The sequence below is a fragment of the Homo sapiens genome, chromosome 5 (genome assembly GCF_000001405.40).
Source record: "Homo sapiens chromosome 5, GRCh38.p14 Primary Assembly".
Taxonomy (NCBI): Eukaryota; Metazoa; Chordata; class Mammalia; order Primates; family Hominidae; genus Homo; species Homo sapiens.
Window position 1 is genome coordinate 56,134,318 of NC_000005.10, and position 17,836 is coordinate 56,152,153.

The window sequence follows — 17,836 nt, forward strand, 5'->3', positions numbered from 1 at the left end:
CTGTTATCCCAGCACTTTGGGAGGCCGAGACAGGTGGATCACCTGAGGTCAGGAGTTCGAGACCAGCCTGGCCAACATGGCGAAACCTGGTGTCTACTGAAAATACAAAAAATTAGCCTGGCGTGGTGGCAGGCGCCTGTAATCCCAGCTACTTGGGAAGCTGGGGCAAGAGAATTGCTTGAACCCGGGAGTTGGAGGTTGCAGTGAGCCGAGATCGTGTCATTGCACTCCAGCCTGGGTGACAGAGTGAGAGACTCTGTCTCAAAAAAAAAAAAAAAGATATAAATTGAATAAATAATTAATAACCTTCTAAAATGGAAATATGAGGCTCAGATGTATTCACTGGTAAATTTTACCAAACATTCAAGAAAAATATAACGGTTTTTTAAGAATCTCTTTCAGAAGATAGAAGCCTAGGGAACTTCCTAACTCATTCTATCAGTCAGTATCACCCTAATACAAAACAAAACAAAGATATTATAAGAAAACTATAGACCAATAACTTTCATAAAGATAGATGTAAATGTCCTCAACAACATATTAGTGAATAGAATCTAGCAACGTAAAAAAAGAATTATACATCATGGTCAAATAGGATTTATCCAAGGTATGCAAGTGTAGCTCAACATTTTCAAATCAATTAATGTAATCAACCACATCAGCAGGCTAAAGAAGAAGAATCACATGGTTGTATCAATAGATACAGAAAAAGTATTTGAGAAAATCCACCACTTATTCATAATAAAAACTCTCAGTAAACTAGGAATAGAGAAGAACTTCCTAAACTTGGTAAAGAGCATCTATAGAAAACCTATAGCTAACATCATACTTCAAGGTGAAAAATGAGAAGCTTTCCAACTAAGATCAGGAAGAAGGTAAAAATGTCTCACAACTTTCCTTCCTTCCTTCCTTCCTTCCTTCCTTCCTTCCTTCCTTCCTTCCTTCTTTCCCTCCCTCCCTCCCTGCCTGCCTGCTTGCTTTCTTTCTTTCTTTCTTTCTTTCTTTCTTTCTTTCTTTCTTTCTTTCTTTCTTTCTTTCTTTCTTTCTTTCCTTCTTTCTTTCTTTCTTTCTTGACAGGGTCTCACTCTGTTGCTCAGGCTGGAGTGCAGTGGTGCGATCTTGGCTCACTGTGACCTCCGCCTCCCAGGTTCAAGCGATTCTCCTGCCTCAGCCTCCCGTGTAGCTGGGACTACAGGCATGTGCCACCACACCCTGCTAGTTTTTGTATTTTTAGTACAGGCAGGTTTTTGCCATTTTGCCAGGCTGGTCTTGAACTCCTGGCCTCAAGCAATCTGCCTGCATCGGCCTCCCAAAGTGCTAGGATTACAGGCGTGAGCCACTGTACCCGGTTCCACCACCTCTTTTCAATATTATACTCAAAGTTCTAGTTAATGCAATAAGACAAGAACAGGAAATAAAAAGAATGCTGATTGGGAAGGAAGAAATAAAACCGTCTGTTTTCAGATCACATGACTATCTATGTATAAAATCTGAAAGAATAGACAAAAATAGCTCTGAAACTAAGAAGCAATTATAGCAAGATTTCAGGATACAGGCTAATATACAAAAGTTGATCATTTTTCTATATACTAGCAATGAGCAAATAGAATTTGAAATTAAAAATACAATACCATTTACATTAGCACCCCCCAAAATTAAATAGTTAGGTACAAATCTAACAAAATGTGATACAAGAGCTATATGAAAAAATCTATAAAAGTGTGATGAAAAACATCAAAGAACTAAATAAATGGAGATCTTCATATGGTAAGGGTAAGAGCAAAATAAAAATTATAAAAATAAATAAATAAATGGATATTGCATGTTCATGGTTAAGAAGACTTAAAATTGTTAAGATATCAGTTCTTCAAAATTTGATCTATAGATTCAATATAGTCCCTATCGAAATACCAGAAACTTATCTTGTAGATGTCAACAAACTGATTCCACAGTTTATATGGAGAGGCAAAAGACACAGAATAGTCAACAAGATAGTGGAGAACAAAGTTGGGTGACTGACACTACTCAACTTTAAGACTTACTATAAAGCTACAGTAATCAAGATAGTGTGATACTGGCAAAATAATAGACAAGTAAGTCAATGCAACAGAATGGACAGCCAAGAAATAGACCCACATAATCAACTGATATTTGACAAAAGAGTAAAAGCAATACAATAAAGAAGAGGTAGTTGTTTCACCAAATGGTGCTGAAACAACTGGACATCTACATGCAAAAAAGTAAACCTAGACACAGACCTTATACCTTTCACAAAATTGACTCAAAACTGATCACAGACCTAAATGTAAAACCTAAAATTAGGCCGGGCAAGGCGGCTCGTACCTGTAATCCCAGCACTTTGGGAGGCTAGGGTGGGAGGATCACTTGAGTCCCGGAGTTCAAGACCAGCCTAGGCAACATAATGAAACCTCATCTCTAAAAAAAATACAAAAAATTACCTAGGCATTGTGGGTGTGCCTATAGTCCCAGGTACTCAAGAGGCTGAAGTGGAAGGATCACTTGAGACCAGGAGGTCCAGGCTGCAGTGAGCCATGATTATGTCACTGCACTCCAGCCTGGATGAGACAGAGTGAATTCTAAAATTATATAAGAATTCCAGGAGATGCTCTTTCCCTAAGTGGCCTCAGCTAATCTGTGAAAATGATTCGCTCTTCACTTGACCCAGAGAGCCCCACAAAATCATGCAAATCAAGAGGTTCAAGTCTTCGTGTTCACTTTACGAACACTTGTGAAATGCCCAGGCCATCAGGGTAGGCATATATGAAAAGCCACAAAGTATCTGAAAGATGTCACTTTACAGAAACAGTGTGTACCATTGTGACGTTACAGTGGTGGAGTTGGCAAGTGTGCCCAGGCCAAGCAGTGGGGCTGGACACAAGGTCGGTGGCCCAAAAAGAGTGCTGAATTTTTGCTGCACATGCTTAAAAATGCAGAGAGTAATGCTGAACTTATGGGTTTCGATGTAGATTATCTGGTCATTGAGCATATCCATGGGAACAAAGCACCTAAGATGTGCCCCTGGACCTACAGAGCTCATGGTCGGATTAACCCATACATGAGCTCTCCCTGCCACACTGAGATGATCCTTACTGAAAAGGAACAAAATGTTCCTAAACCAGAAGAGGAGATTGCCCAGAAGAAAAAGATATCCCAGAAGAAACTGAAGAAACAAAAACTTATGGCACGAGAGTAAATTCAGCATTAAAATAAATGCAATTAAAAGTAAAAGAAAAAAAAAAAGAATTCCAGGAGATAACAGGAGCAAAATTGAGATGACCTTGGGTTTGGTGATGACTTTTAGATACTGAAATAATAATCCATGGAAGAAAAAATTGATAACCTAGATTTCATTAAAATCAAAAACTTCTCTGTGAAGGACACTGCCAAAAGAATAACAAGATAAGCCCCAACCTAGAAGAAAATATTTGTAAAAGACGTATCTAATAAAAGACTATTGCCAAAATATGCAAAGAACTCCTAAAACTCAACAGTAAGAAAACAACAATGATATTTAAATGGGCAGAAGATCTTTATAGATAGCTCACAAAGAAAATTTGCAGATGACTAATAAGCCCATGAAAAGATGCACCACATCATACGCCATCAGAAAAACACAAACTAAAACAACCATGAGATACCACAGTGCATTGATTAGGAAGGCTAAAATCCAGAACACTGACAATACCAAACGCTGGTGAGGATAATGAACAACAGGAACTCTCATTCACTGCTGGTGGAAATGCAAAATGGTACAGCCACTTTTGAAGACAGTTTGGTGGTTTCTTTTTCTTTTTTTTTTTTTTTTTTGAGACAGAGTCTTACCCTGTCACCCAGGTTGGAGTGCAATGGCGCAATCTTGGCTCACTGCAACCTCTGCCTCCCAGGTTCAAACGATTCTCCTGCCTCAGCCTCCCGAGCAGCTGGGATTACAGGCACCCACTACCATGCCCAGCTAATTTTTGTATTTTTAGTAGAGACAGGGATTCACCATGTTGGTCAGGCTGGTCTCAAACTCCTGATCTCATGATCCGCCCGCCTTGGCCTCCCAAAGTGCTGGGATTACAGGTGTGAGCCAACGTGCCTGGTCATTTTGGTAGTTTCTTACAAAACTAAACATACCCTTATCATAGATCCAGCAACTGTGCTCCTTGATATTTACCCAAAGGAACTGAAAACTTATGTTTACACAAAAAGCTGCACACAGATGTTTATAGTGGTTTTATTCATAATTGGCAAAGCTGGGAAGCAACCAATATGTCCTTGCATAGATGAATGGATAAGTAAACCTTGGTATATTCATGTAATGGAATATTAACCAGTGCTAAAGAGAAATGAGCTATTAAGTCATGAAAAGACTTGGAGGAAATGTAAATGCATATTACTAGACAATTTGAAAAAGCTACATACAGTACAATTCCAATCATATGACATTCTGGAAAAGGCAAAGCTATGGAGACAGTAAAAAGATCAGTGGTTGCTAGGGATTAGGGTAAGGGTGGAAAGAATAAGGGGAGCTCAGAGGATTTTTAGGGCAATGAAGGTATTCCGCATGATACTTTAATGATGGATACATGTCATTATACCTTTGTCCAATTCCACAGAATGTACAATATCAAGAGTGAAGCTTATGGTAAACTATGGACTTTGGGCATTGATGACCTGTCAGTGTAGGCTATCAATTGTAACAAATGTACCACTGTAGTGGGAGATGTTGGTAACGGGGGAGGCAATTTATTGTCAGTGGGGCGGGGGGGCAGAAGATATTAATATGTGACATATTTCTGCAATCTTCCTCTCAATTTTATTGGGTACTTAAAACTGCTCTAGAAAACTAAAGTCTTTACATGAAATGTTTTTTTCCACAGAGAGAAAGAACCCAATAAGCCATTAACCCCATTGGCCTGAGATGAATAAATTTATTGGAGTGAATTCAATGAACACCTCTTTAGGGACCTACGGTTCACAAAGCTCTGTTCTGGGTGTTGAGACATTTGGATGAATAAGGCACGTTGCCCTTAGGTCCACAGTCTAGAAGGGAAGACACAGGCACCTCACCAATTTTAACAAAGTTCTAGAAGTAACGTGGAGGGAAGAATTTGGAAAGGGAGCTCAACAAAGAAGGTGACACTTAGTTGGGCTTTGAGAAATAAGAAAGAATAAGCAGATATTCTGTAGGCAGAAGGAATGATACAGGGAGTGCAAGAAGAAAGAAGCATTTTACCCAAATGGAAGAGCATGACAGCAGGGGAGAGAGAAGGAATCTTTATGATGTATTGTGAGGATTACTAATATTCCAGTGTGATTAGAGCCAAGATTACGTGAGCTTGAGAGGAAAGGTCAGGGGTGGGGAACCAAGGACCAACAGTGACCGTAATTGTTTTGGTATAATAATAGCTATGTTAGTACATGTCTTTGTGATTTGTTGGAAGAGCTCTGTAAGAATAGATTGGAAGGCCAAGTGTGGTGGCTCATGCCTGTAATCCCGACACTTGGGAGGCCTGGGTGGGAGGATCTCTTGAGTCCAGGAGTTCAAGACCAGCATAGGCAACATGGTGAGACTTTGTCTCTACTTTAAAAAAAATTAGCCAGGCATGGTGGTGTGTGCCTGTAGTCCCAGCTACTAGGGAGGCCGAGTGGTAGAATTGCTTGAGCCCAGGGTAAAACTTAGTTTACCTAGTAGGCCTACTGTTTCCAATCTTTACTGCTTTGTTTATTTTGGTGAAATACAAAGGCCTTATTATTTCAATGAACTATAGCTTTAAATGTGATCTCATTATATGGTCCAAGAGAAAAGCAGGAAATTCAGAAAAAGGAATAAATGACAACGGGAAATAGACTCATTCGTATGGAAAAACTCTAAAATGAGCACAATGCTAGCCCTGTGTTATAAATGAACAAGAAGTCTAAAGAAGGCAAGTGTAATAATGATTTCAGCTGACATTTGGAATTACCCTCAGTCTTTGCAGTATAAATGGCAGAGTACACCACTTCTGAATTTTACTGCTAACCATAGGGAAGGAGAATGCACAATTTCTCCAGAGCCGGGGTTCTTAGCCTTTTGTGGGTAGTCACTGTTCCTCATTGAGGAGGTCAAGAAAGTTGTGGACTCCTTCCTCAGAAAAATGAATGCAAACATGCTCACACACCATATATACAGTATTACATACAATTGTAGGGGTTCTAGAGGGACCTATCTTTTTAATCTTTTTGCCTCCAATGCAAGACACATAGTGGATGCTCAAGAAGTATTTATTTAGTGATTGAGTAAATAAATGAACGAGGCATTATGCTTATACAATCATGGTCAAAATGCAAACATCTCCAATAGTAGGTAAAGTATTAGCACCCATTAATATGAATTCATTTATCATAGTGCTTCTAAACCCTAGCTGCATATTACAGTCTTCTATGGAAAGGAGGGAGCTTTAAATAATGTATGTGTGGCTGGGCGTAGTGGTTCATGCCAGTAATCCCAGAACTTTGGGAGGCTGAGGCAGGTGAATCAGCTGAGTTCAGGAGTTCGAGACCAGTCTGACCCATGTGGTGAAACCCCATCTATACTAAAAATACAAAAATTAGGCAGTCGTGGTGGTGTGTGCCTGTAATTCCAGCTACTTAGGAGCCTGAGGCAGGAGAATTGCTTGAACCCGGGAGGCAGATGATGCAGTGAGCCAAGATCGCACCATTGCACTCCAACCTGGGCAATAGAGTAAGACTCCATCTCAAAAAAATATATCTATCTATATATATATGTGTGTGTGTGTGTATGTGTGTACATGCATGCACACACAGTTTTTTTTTTTTTTTTTTTTATATAGAGATGGAGTCTTGCTATATTGCCCAGGTTAGTCTTGAACTCCTGGCCTCAAGTGATCCTCCTGCCTCGGATTCCCAAAGAGGTGAGATTATAGCCACAGCTCCCAGCCAATACAAATATTTTTTTTAAGAGCCCAGGGTCTCACTGCATTACACAGCTTGGTCTCAAACTCCTGGGCTGAGGTGATCCTCCTGCCTCAGTCTCCCAAGTAGCTGGGATTATAGGCACATGCCATTATGCCCAGCTCCAGTTTTGAAAAATATTGATGGCTGGGCCCCACCCCAGAACAACTGAATGAAAATCTAAGAGGTGAGGCCTGGACGTGAGTATTGTTTAAAAGCTCTTCAGATTATTCCATTGTGCAGACAGGGCTGAAATCAATGTAGTAGGTTAAAAGCTGTGACATTTAGTAGAGACAAAGAGTATGGGAGCTTTCAGGTAGCTGAACATGTGGAGGTTTCTGGAGGGTGGCACACCCAGAGAGGGCACGGAAGCTCCATGCCTGTTCCCCCATACCCTTGCCCTACCTGTCTGTTCATCTTCATCCTTTGCTATATAATTTATAACGAACTGGTAAACATAAAAAAAAGAGAAAGAATATGAAGGCATGGGTATAATAACTAAGTTTCCTGTGGAGAAAATCAGGAACCCTAATAAAAATGACCATTTCGTCCAATTACATAGTACGTTACATATCACTATCATATGCATGGTCTCATTCTGACCATGCATACCCTTATCAAAGATACCTTTATCAGTTAAGCCAAGCAAGTGTTGACTTGCCTTAGATCAAGCCCAAGTGTATTAATGCAAACTCAGATATTCAGAGTTGAGTAGGTTGTTCTTATGATTTTGCCAAAGTGCCTCTTAAAGGATAAGAACAGGGATTCCCGGCTGGGTGCAGTGGCTCACGTCTGTAATCTCAACACTTTGGGAGGCCGAGCGGGGCAGATCACGAGGTCAGGAGTTCAAGACCAGCCTGGCCAACATGGTGAAAACCCATCTCTACTAAGAATACAAAAATTAGCTGGGCATGGTGGTGTGTGCCTATAATCCCAGCTACTCGGGAGGCTGAGGCAGGAGAATTGCTTGAACCAGGACCCGGGAGGTGGAGGTTGCAGTGAGCTGAGATCGCACCACTGCACTCTGGCCTGGGCTACAGAGTGAGACTCCATTTCAGAAAACAAAACAAAACTAAACAACAACAACAAAAACCCAGCGATTCCACCCTGTGAGGGCCCAGCGGGGGTCTGGGAATCTGTTGTTTTACAAGCACTGCTGGTGATTCCATCGCAAGGCCAGGTCTAAGACAGCAGCTCTACACTGGGGCTGGGATGGTGGAAGGGGGACGCATGTCAGTCAGAATTACCTGGGGAGGTTTTTCAAAATGCACATGCATCCTGGATCTAGGGAATCAGAGTGCAGTGGTGTTGAGGTGACTATGTAGAAAGTGCCTGCTTCTGGTGCCACTTTCATCTCAGCTGAGAACCAACACATGAGGAGCTTCCTGGGAGCCCAGCCAGGTTCCTCTGTGGCCACCGCTACAGTGGTGACCCCTGACCAGCCAGAGGCCAGCCCCAGGGCATGGAGTCCTGGGCAGAGACTGGCAGCGATGGTGGCAGGGCAGGTGATTAGATACTGAAAGTATGTAGGAGGGTGCTATGGGCAGGTGGAGATGACAAAACAAGCCTTGCTCACTGCATAGCTTTGCAGAGAAACTGGTGCAGAGAAACTGAAGCCAAGGTTAGAGGGATGAAAACAGAGCAGTTTCCAGATCACTTCTGTTTTCCCCTTACATCAGGCACACATGTCAATCCTGAAAGTCCCAGGTGCCCACTTCTGCTGTACTTGGCACATGGAAATGCTGACTGAAACCACAGTCAGGGCAGCAGAAACTATTCTCACAGGGTCCTGGCAGTAGCTCAGACAGGTGCCCTTTCTGGGCCAACAGAAATCAACTGTGGGGGTGTCTGTGCTGAAGACAGAGACGGGCTGGCAAGTTTATGCAAAGGATGCTCTCCTTGAAAAAAGGAATAGATAACTTTTAGTTAATCATTCCCCTTGAAAATAGAAAGCACTCGGTTACACATTAGTGATTATTATTCTTTCACCTTACTCTTGGTTTTGCCCTCTCTGGACAATAGATTTCTTGAGCCTATTCTGATTTGTTTGGTTGTGTGTATTGACGTGGACTCCCTTATGTGATAGTGATGCAGGGTCATGAGCCACTACTTTCACTGTCGGGTGTAGAATTCAGGATCACCTGAAATGACTCTGCTGGGGAGGATTTGGAAGCAAGAAGAGAGTCAGAGAGTCATGGTTCAAAGACTTTGAAGGCATTTTCCCAGCAATTCTTTGAAGGTTTACTCTGGGACACAGTAAGCCGGTAGCAAACATTGAGATGGAGAGAGAAACAGAGAGAATGAGAGGGGTATGTGTGTGTCTGTGTGTGCCACCCAAGGCAGGCTCTGCTTGATATTTTATAACTACTCCCCTTTGCATCTTGGCAGGGTTTCTTTTCAACAAGTGGTGGAGCTGAATCAAGAGCTGAAACCTCCATCTTTAAAGTTTGACCTACTCAGAAAATTGTTAACACTGCTTTCCACCATTTAAACCTGAGACCAGTCCACAGGTCAATTTCTCACCTGGACTGCCCAGTGGAGAGCGGTTTTAAAGTCTTTATCCACAAGGGTGGGGTCTGCCCCCTTCTTCAGCAGCATTTGTGTGTGTTGAGGCTGGTTGTGGAAAGCCGCCCAGTGGAGTGGTGTCATTCCCTGCAAAACAACAGTCAGAGAGGACAGAGATGAGCACAGGCTCCCAGGAAGAAAACTGGAGCTCACACTTTCTCCTCAGGCCTGGGGGCCATCACCAGATGCGTTGGTTGTTTCCTGCTGGTTCATTCATTCATTCATTAATCCATTCATTCCATAGATGTTTATTGTCTGTCTGCTTTGTGCCAGGCAAGCAGTTGTTCAGGATACAAAAGTTAATAAGGTAAATGAGATCCTTACCCTCATGGAAATTGCTCTGTGGTAAAGGAAGGCAGATATTAAATGCACAAAAACATGTCAAACAATCTTCCAGATTGATAAATACTATGAAGAATGCACGTAGGATGCTGGTGAGAGAGTAACCAAGGGTGGAGGGACTGTTCTAAACAGGCCTCTGAAAGAAGAAATGGAGGAAGAGGACAGCCAACACCAAGCACAGAGGCAGAGAGTAAGTTAAAGGAAGGCCTCTGTGACTGGAGTGCAATCCCCCACCACCAGGGCAGGGGTGCTGTCTGTTTTCCTCTATCTCTAATGCCTAGGCTAAAGGCTGGAGAAATAGCTGTTGAATGAATGAATGAGGTAGGAGGGGAAGAGAGCAATGTGAAATGAGGTTGGAGAGGGAGGCAGGGGCTGATCCTGGGAGGGTGGGATGGGGGATAACTGTCTCTGCATAACACATTTGGAATTTATTCTAATTCAGTGGAGAGACAATGAAGGATTTTAAGCAGGTACTGGCATGATCAGATGTACACTGTTTAGAAGAAATCACTGTGGCAGCTTGGAGAACAGAGCTGGATAAATGAATGGTGAATCCCAGCTTCTTTCAGAGTTCAGGGTCATATGGGTTAGGTATAATTTAACATTAAGTGAGCTTATGCTGAGAAATGGTGGCCAAAAAGAGCCAGCGTTATCTGAACGTATATATGATGAAAAGATTGGCTCTTCTCCTTGCTCACTCATCTCAATTCCATGAAATGTATCTAGAATGAATTGAAATGAAGATGCCTGATAAAGGGGGCAAAGGGCATGGGCAGCTTTGAAGACTCTCTTTCTATAGTTATCTCTGCTGATAGCATAAAGCTAGGAGACAACACCTTGGCTTTCTCTGTTCCTTCCAGGGTGAGCTGCATGGAGAAGATGGGCCTCAGCCTAGACAGGAGCACATTAATAATAGCGCAGAGCTAATATTTATTGATCTAGAGACCTTTATGAGTTCTTTTATCTATTGTCTCACTTAATCCTCCAAACAAACTTCTGGAGTAAGTACTGTGGTGATGTCTCCTACGTGTTCACCAAGCTGTTTCCTCTTCCCCTAGGGCACACAGTCAAACTACATTCCCCAGCCTCCTTGCAGATAGGTGCAGCCACATGACTGAGTCCTTGCCATTGGAATGTGGACAGAGGAGATGGAAACCTTCCCCAGGCCTGGGCTAGAAAAAAAGCCCATGTGGTCCTCCACATCTTCTTTTTTTCCTCATATATCAACAGAATGCAGAGGAGGACAAGGCTCTGGAAGATGCTGGAATCATGTGATTGAAAAGCCTGGGTTTCTGATCAATGAGGGAGAATAGGACCACCCTGCCAAACAGCACTGGATTATGATATGAGCAAGAAATAGGCCTTTATTGTGTCAGGCTACTGAGATTTCAAGTCGTTTGCTAGAGCAGTTAGCCAGCTCTGATAGGTGCCATTGTACTTCTCATTTAATAGAAGAGGAAGCTGAGCTCTAGAGAAATTCCTGAGTTTGTGAGTAGCATGGAACTGAATCTAGGGTTTAAGGTTTGTGGGACACTAGAATTAGAAAATCCCTTCAACCAGTTCCATATTTTAAATTCCTATATTATGGTTTGCTTTCAAGTTTCAAGTATCATATGACAGTGAACCTCCAGAGATACTCTTGAGGATATTTCAAGAAATTGGTTCCATATGAAAAACAATGCTGGTATAAAAGCAATGGAACTTCTTATTCTTATTCCAATAGCTGAATATTTACTTGGAAATCAGAATACCTCAGTACATTCTAATTGGTCCTCTTCATTTTTAACTGGGCACACTGGGGTTAGAAATCTAACACAAGGGAATTATATTTTAAAATTAAATTATATTTTAAAAATAATGCATGGATAGCCCGTTTCCCAGTTCTTAGTCCCATTTGCTTCATTGCAAATGAAGTGATGAAATGAAGTCATTGGCTTCATCACGAAGTGCCAAAACTTTTCAAGTTACTGGAGCGTAAGTTGCATGAGAGCAGGGCCTTTGTTTGCCAGTCTGAATTCCTAGATCCTAGAATGGTGCCAGGCACATTATAGATGCTGAGTAAACACTTATTAACGGAACGAATGACTTACTATGCTCCACTGATTTTTTTTTTTTTTTGAGATGGAGTTTCGCTCTGTCGCCCAGGCTGGAGTGCAATGGCGCAATTTCGGCTCACTGCAACTGCCACCTCCCAGGTTCAAGGGATTCTCCTACCTCAGCCTCCCAAGTAGCTGAGATTACAGGTGCCCGCCACCACGCCTGCCTAATTTTTGTAGTTTTTAGTAGAGACAGGTTTCACCATGTTGGCCAGGCTGGTCTCGAGCTCCTGACCTTAGCAGCCCACCTCAGCCTCCCAAAATGCTGGGATTACAAGAGTGAACCACTGCACCCGGCCGAATTTCTTCGTAAAAATTTGGCTTTGCTTTTTAAAATCATACACAGAAGAAAGGCAGAACATGACCTCTCCTTTATAGACAATGAACTTGTCTGATATGATCATTGTTACCAACTCATTAGCTGAAACTTGTCAGGATTTTTGATGAGTGCTCCAAACAATCTTGTCCTTTGTACTACTGTACTATCTCACATCCAATTACTAACCAGGCCTAACCCTGCTTAACTTCTGAGGTCAGGTGCGTTCAGGGTGGTTCTGGCCATAGACCACTGCACTGTCAAACGTGAGGTAGATGGCAATGAGTATATGCAGAAGTATGATTTAGAGATGTGGGAATTCAGTGCGAAAATGTGGTTGTGAATTAAACAATGGTAATGCAGTGTTAATTATTGTCTCCTAAATACAGTTTCAGACTTTAAGAGTTATTCTCTTTAAACAACCGCAAGAAACCCCCCCACAAAACCCAACTCTTGCATAGTTTGGTGAAGGGGTGGGGTGGGAGGAGTGCTATCATTTTTCATACACCTACTTGGTGCCAAGAGCTTTGTATATTCTATCTCATAGAATCTTTACATGATCCTAAGGGGTTAGTAGTTTTAAGCCTATTTTACAGGCAAGGAAACTGAAATACAGATTAAGTAATTTGCCTAAGGCCATTGACTGAGTCCATGGTAGAGCTAGGGTTCAATACTTGTTTCTCTGACTCTGGAGAAAAAAATGTTCTTTCCACACATCATGGTGGTAGAATTTCATTTTGGGAATGAGCTCAGATGCTAAAAAATTCCTTTCTTTGTAATTGTAGCTGGATTCAAGGTTGTCTTACTTTCTAAAATGATGGTTCTTACTAGTGTAAGGATTGGTACCCTATATTTTTGTTTCATTTGGCATTGCCTCAAGGGTCCTCCTGAAAGTGCAGTTGGCAAACATTTATTTTTATAAGATATATACACATACATAATACATATTCTCCCACCCAGTTCACCGTCACCACAAAACTTGAGAACATCTTGAAAATAACTGGTGATCCTCTGAATGGCTCCAAATCAAGACCCAAATTACTTCATTACTTTTCTAAATACTTGTGCAATATAAATGGGCTGTGAACACTCAGTCAAGTAAAGGGAAATTTCCTGCCGCTTTTTTTTCTTTTTCTTTTTTTCATTTGGGCTGATGAGAAATAAGAATAAATCCTCTTAGAGTTAATAATGTGAAAACCAAAGCTTTCAAAAGCAGCTCAAAGGCAGCGGTTGGTATTGCACACTTTATTTAGGAACATTTTCCTACAACTGCTTCCTTCTCCTTTCTTCTTCTTCTTTCTTCAACTTCTGTTGGGCCCGCAGAAATTGTAGTTGTCTTATGTTAAAATTCTGGTGACCAGTTAAGGGGCAAACATCAGGCTTAGCAATTGGTATCTGTACTAAGCAGTGACAGAAATCACGATTAAGCTGTGATGCACATAAAGGCAGATGCTGTGGCATATTCAGCATGGTATGCTCCCTGCACTGAGCACACAGTAAGTGTTCAAGAAATGCTTACTGGAAGAATTAATTAGTGAATTGCAGCTTATCAAAGATCACTTGGACTCATAGGGAATATAAAATCAGAGTCTGTTGGATAAGACAGCCATCTGTGTCCAAGTTATGGAGACCTTTCCAACCAGTTACTTCCTGGAGTTTCACTGAGGGATAAACTGAGCCTTCGAAGCATCTAGGAGCTGACAATCTAGCAGTCACTATCAGGCATGTTGCAACAAACACCCAGATGGCCCTGGTGACGGGAGAATTCTACTCTTCTGAAAATCAAAAAGTATTGATTGGCTCAAAGAGTGAGGAGGAACACATATTCAGTTAAAAATATAAGCTCTCCAGAATGTTTTGAGGGGAAATGTTAAGTTTTGGTTGACTTGGGATCTGATTTTAGATTGCTGATAAGACAAAATGTATGTTCTAACTGTTGGGTGCATAGTAGGGTTGCTTTGGAACAGTGTCTTGTGTTGATGAGTAATTCTGCGCCTTGAACCTGTGCCACCACAATTTCAGTTAAAGGCTTACAAGTCCTATCAGCTTCTCAGAACATTTTTTTTTTTTCAAAACCACTTTTGTGTTTTCTGAACCAGAAATCTGCTTTAGTGCTTAGCAGGTTTCATGTTTCAGAACTGTACTTTTAGAGTGTCTCTAGACAACACTGAAAGGCACACAGAGAGAAATGTTGATGTGGCTGGGTGCTTGGTTTGTTCCCCGTCTTGGTTGGCGGTTCGGGGTGGGGTGGTGGAGGGGGAGGGTTAAGAATTATAGCAGGTGTCTGCTGGCTGAGAGGTCAGTAAACAATTCCAGATGCTTTGAAGGATCTAGAATTTCCAGCAGCTTGGCTCTGGTTGACATTTAAAAATTAACATACTTAATCCTCTAATCATATATGATCACCCCCAACAAAAGTGATAGAGGGTCTCCCTTAGATAAAAAATTGGAATTAATATGTACTTTAAAAGTAGATCTAGTTTTAAAAACTAGATGGTGTTACAAGTACAGTAATGAAAGCCATTTTCTTTCATTTTTATTTGAAAAACAATCTTATACATCAGAAAGCTTAGTAAATTAATTCATTGTCTTTGTTTTGGAATTTCCTAAACTGAGTAGATAGACGGTGAGCATCACGATAGCCAAAGACTGTAACTGAAGGCCAAGAATACTCTGAGGTTGGATTTTAGGGCACTAGGAAGGGCTGCTAATAACGACACTCTTTAAAAACTCTCACTTTCTCCCTGTAATAATTATAAGAATAATATGTCTGACATTTTTAAAAAAAGACTTTAGAATGGGAGTTTTCATAATTTAAATCAGACAAGAAAAACAATAAAACGAACTTAGGCCATAGAAGTCTAGGAGCCAATTCTAACAAGAACAAACTTATAAAACAAAGCCTTCAGAATAGAAGCCTAAGTTGATAGATTTAATTTTCAACAAAAAAAGAACATCTACATTCTTCTGCACTAAACTGTGAACTCCATCATAGCAGGGATGAAGCCCACATGAGACATGGCAGGTACTGAACAAATATTTGTTGAATAATTAAAATAAAACAATCTTCCTGTTCCAAGGAGATCACCTTGGGAGGCTATACAATTATTCTACTCATTGCTCAAAATACTTTTGGGAGGTTTTTTTTTGGAAATTGCCACTAGAGCAAGAGCTCTATCCATGGATAGAAATAAGGATGTGTGAGTTTCATCAGAGAAATAATTACATCTTTATTTTCACTAACTTCTTTTTTTTTTTTTTTTGAGACGGAGTCTCATTCTGTCACCCAGGCTGGAGTGCAGTGGCACCATCTCGGCTTACTGCAACCTCCACCTCCTGGGTTCAAGAGATTCTCCTGCCTCAGCCTCTCTAGTAGCTGGGACTACAGGTGCGAGCCACCACGCCCGTTGAATTTTTGTATTTTTAGTAGAGATGGGCGTCACCATATTGGCCAGGCTGGTCTTGAACTCCTAGACCTCATGATCCGCCTGCCTTGGCCTCCCAAAGTGCTAGGATTACAGGCGTGAGCCACTGCGCCCGGCCTATTTTCACTAACTTCTAATTGAAATTTAACATCTTTTTCAATTATGAATATAGGCAACAACCCACAGTAGTATAAACAGTACCTGTGACTTTGCCACCTCTATAAATTATAGGTACAGTGCTATTACATTAGTGATTGCAGATCACTACATGTCTCACTACTTCAACAATTGTAGCAGTTTGTGCTCCTACCATCAAATCTTATTTAACGCATTAATAAACAACCTTATATGTTATTATCATAAATTTGGTCTTTAAAATGTTTTCTAGCCTTGGCAACATGGTGAAACTCTGCCTCTACAGAAAAAAAAAAAATTAGTTGGGTATGGTGGTATGCGCCTGTAGTCCCAGCTACTTGGGAGGCTGAGGTGGGAGAGTCACTTGAGCCTGGGAGGCAGAGGTTGCAGTGAACTGAGATTGCACCACTGCACTCTGGCCTCACAGAGTGAGACCCCGTCTCAATAAATAAATAAATAGGCTGGGCGTGGTGCCTCACACCTGTAATCCCAGCCCTTTAGGAGGCCAAGGTGGATGAATCATTTGAGGTCAGGAGTTCGAGACCAGCCTGGCCAACATGGTGAAATCCCGCCTCTACTAAAAAATACAAAAATTAGCCACGTGTGGCGGTGGGTGCCTGTAATCCCAGCTACTCGGTAGGCTGAGGCAGGAGAATCACTTGAACCCTGGAGGTGGAGGTTGCAGCTAGCTGAGATCGCACCACTGCACTCCAGCCTTGGCGACAAAGCGAGACTCCGTCTCAATAAATAAATAAATAAAAGAATGTTTTGATAGCTGTATTTTAATATTTTGATTTCTTTCGCAATCTTATATGTTTCATTTTCTGTAATTTCAGATATTTTTCCTTTTTGATATTTTTTTCCTTTTAAAAAGAAGTTTAAATAGAGATGAGGTTTAGCCATGTTGCCCAGGCTGATCCTGAACTCCTGAGCTCAAGCAATCCTCCTGCCTCGGCCTCCCAAAGGGCTGGGATTACAGGTGTGAGTCACTGCACCCAGCCTAATTTCAGGTATGTTTCTGAGAAGTTATCCATAGGTTTCACAAACACATGAAGATGTGTCCATGTCATAAATATGGGTAAGGACTCCTGCTCTAAAGTCTACAGGACATTTTTAAAAAATTCTAATTGGTATAAAATTTTATTTACTTATTTATATCTCATAAACACCTCTAATACCATGAAAATCTTAGTTTTTTGAGAGTAGGTTTTGGAAATAACAGTCACCTGGAGTCAAGTCTGGGAAATAAATTGGATAGCTGAGTCAACAAAACAAAAGAAGAAAGGGCCATAAAATAAAATAACATGACTTTTTCTTGAATTTAATTCTTTCTTTCTCCCTAGATATAACATATCTAGATATAATATATATCTAGGCTGGGCGTGGTGGCTCACGCCTATAATCCCAGCACTTTGGGAGGCCGAGGCAGGTGGATCACTTGAGGACAGGAGTTCGAGACCAGCCTGGCTAACCTGGTGAAACCCCATCTCCACAAAAAATACAAAAATTAACCGGGCATGGTGGCAGGCACCTGTAATCCCAGCTACTTAAGAGGCTGAGGCAGGAGAATCACTTGAACCCAAGAGGCGGAGGTTGCAGTGAGCCAAAATAGTGCCACTGCATTCTAGCCTGGGTGACACAGTGAGACCACATCTCGGAAAAAAAAAAATCTATATATATATATGTGTGTGTGTATATATATGTATATATACGTGTGTATATATACATATACATACACACGTATATGTGTGTATATACACATATATGTATATATGTATATATGTGTGTGTATATATATATAAAAAATTTTTGTGCCTCACTAAAGCTTTTGTGCAAGCTACTGAACTAGAAACTGGGGATACAAAGATAAAAAAAGGCATGGTCTGCCTCTAGAAGTTTATAGGGTTGGAGGAGAGTGGGAGAGGGAGGTGGGGGCTCCTAAGTAGTGGTGACCCTACTCCATTTTTTTTTTTTTAGATGTTCGGTCTTAGGCTAAA

The 17,836-nt window shown here is 41.3% G+C and overlaps 1 protein-coding gene and 2 pseudogenes across 2 annotated transcripts in view, besides 1 other annotated feature; 1 reads left to right on the top strand and 2 right to left on the bottom strand.

The window, feature by feature from the left end:
- ANKRD55 (ankyrin repeat domain 55) overlaps positions 1-17,836 on the bottom strand; it is a 133,651-nt gene that overhangs the window by 34,638 nt on the left and 81,177 nt on the right. For both annotated transcript variants that reach the window (NM_024669.3, XM_047417710.1), the window contains one exon: positions 9,484-9,612. In NM_024669.3, the coding sequence (NP_078945.2) occupies positions 9,484-9,612 (129 nt within the window). The remainder of the gene's footprint in view (positions 1-9,483; positions 9,613-17,836) is intronic.
- On the top strand, positions 2,642-3,252 carry RPL17P22 (ribosomal protein L17 pseudogene 22; annotated as a pseudogene).
- RNA5SP184 (RNA, 5S ribosomal pseudogene 184) lies at positions 12,422-12,529 on the bottom strand (annotated as a pseudogene).
- Positions 14,153-14,653: a transcriptional cis regulatory region, noted in NCBI's record as "chr5:55444297-55444797 region (GRCh37/hg19 assembly coordinates) targeted for CRISPR interference". NCBI's record gives its function as "positively regulates IL6ST gene expression in Jurkat T cells {active_cell/tissue: Jurkat}" and the evidence as "EXISTENCE:mutant phenotype evidence [ECO:0000015][PMID:33828297]".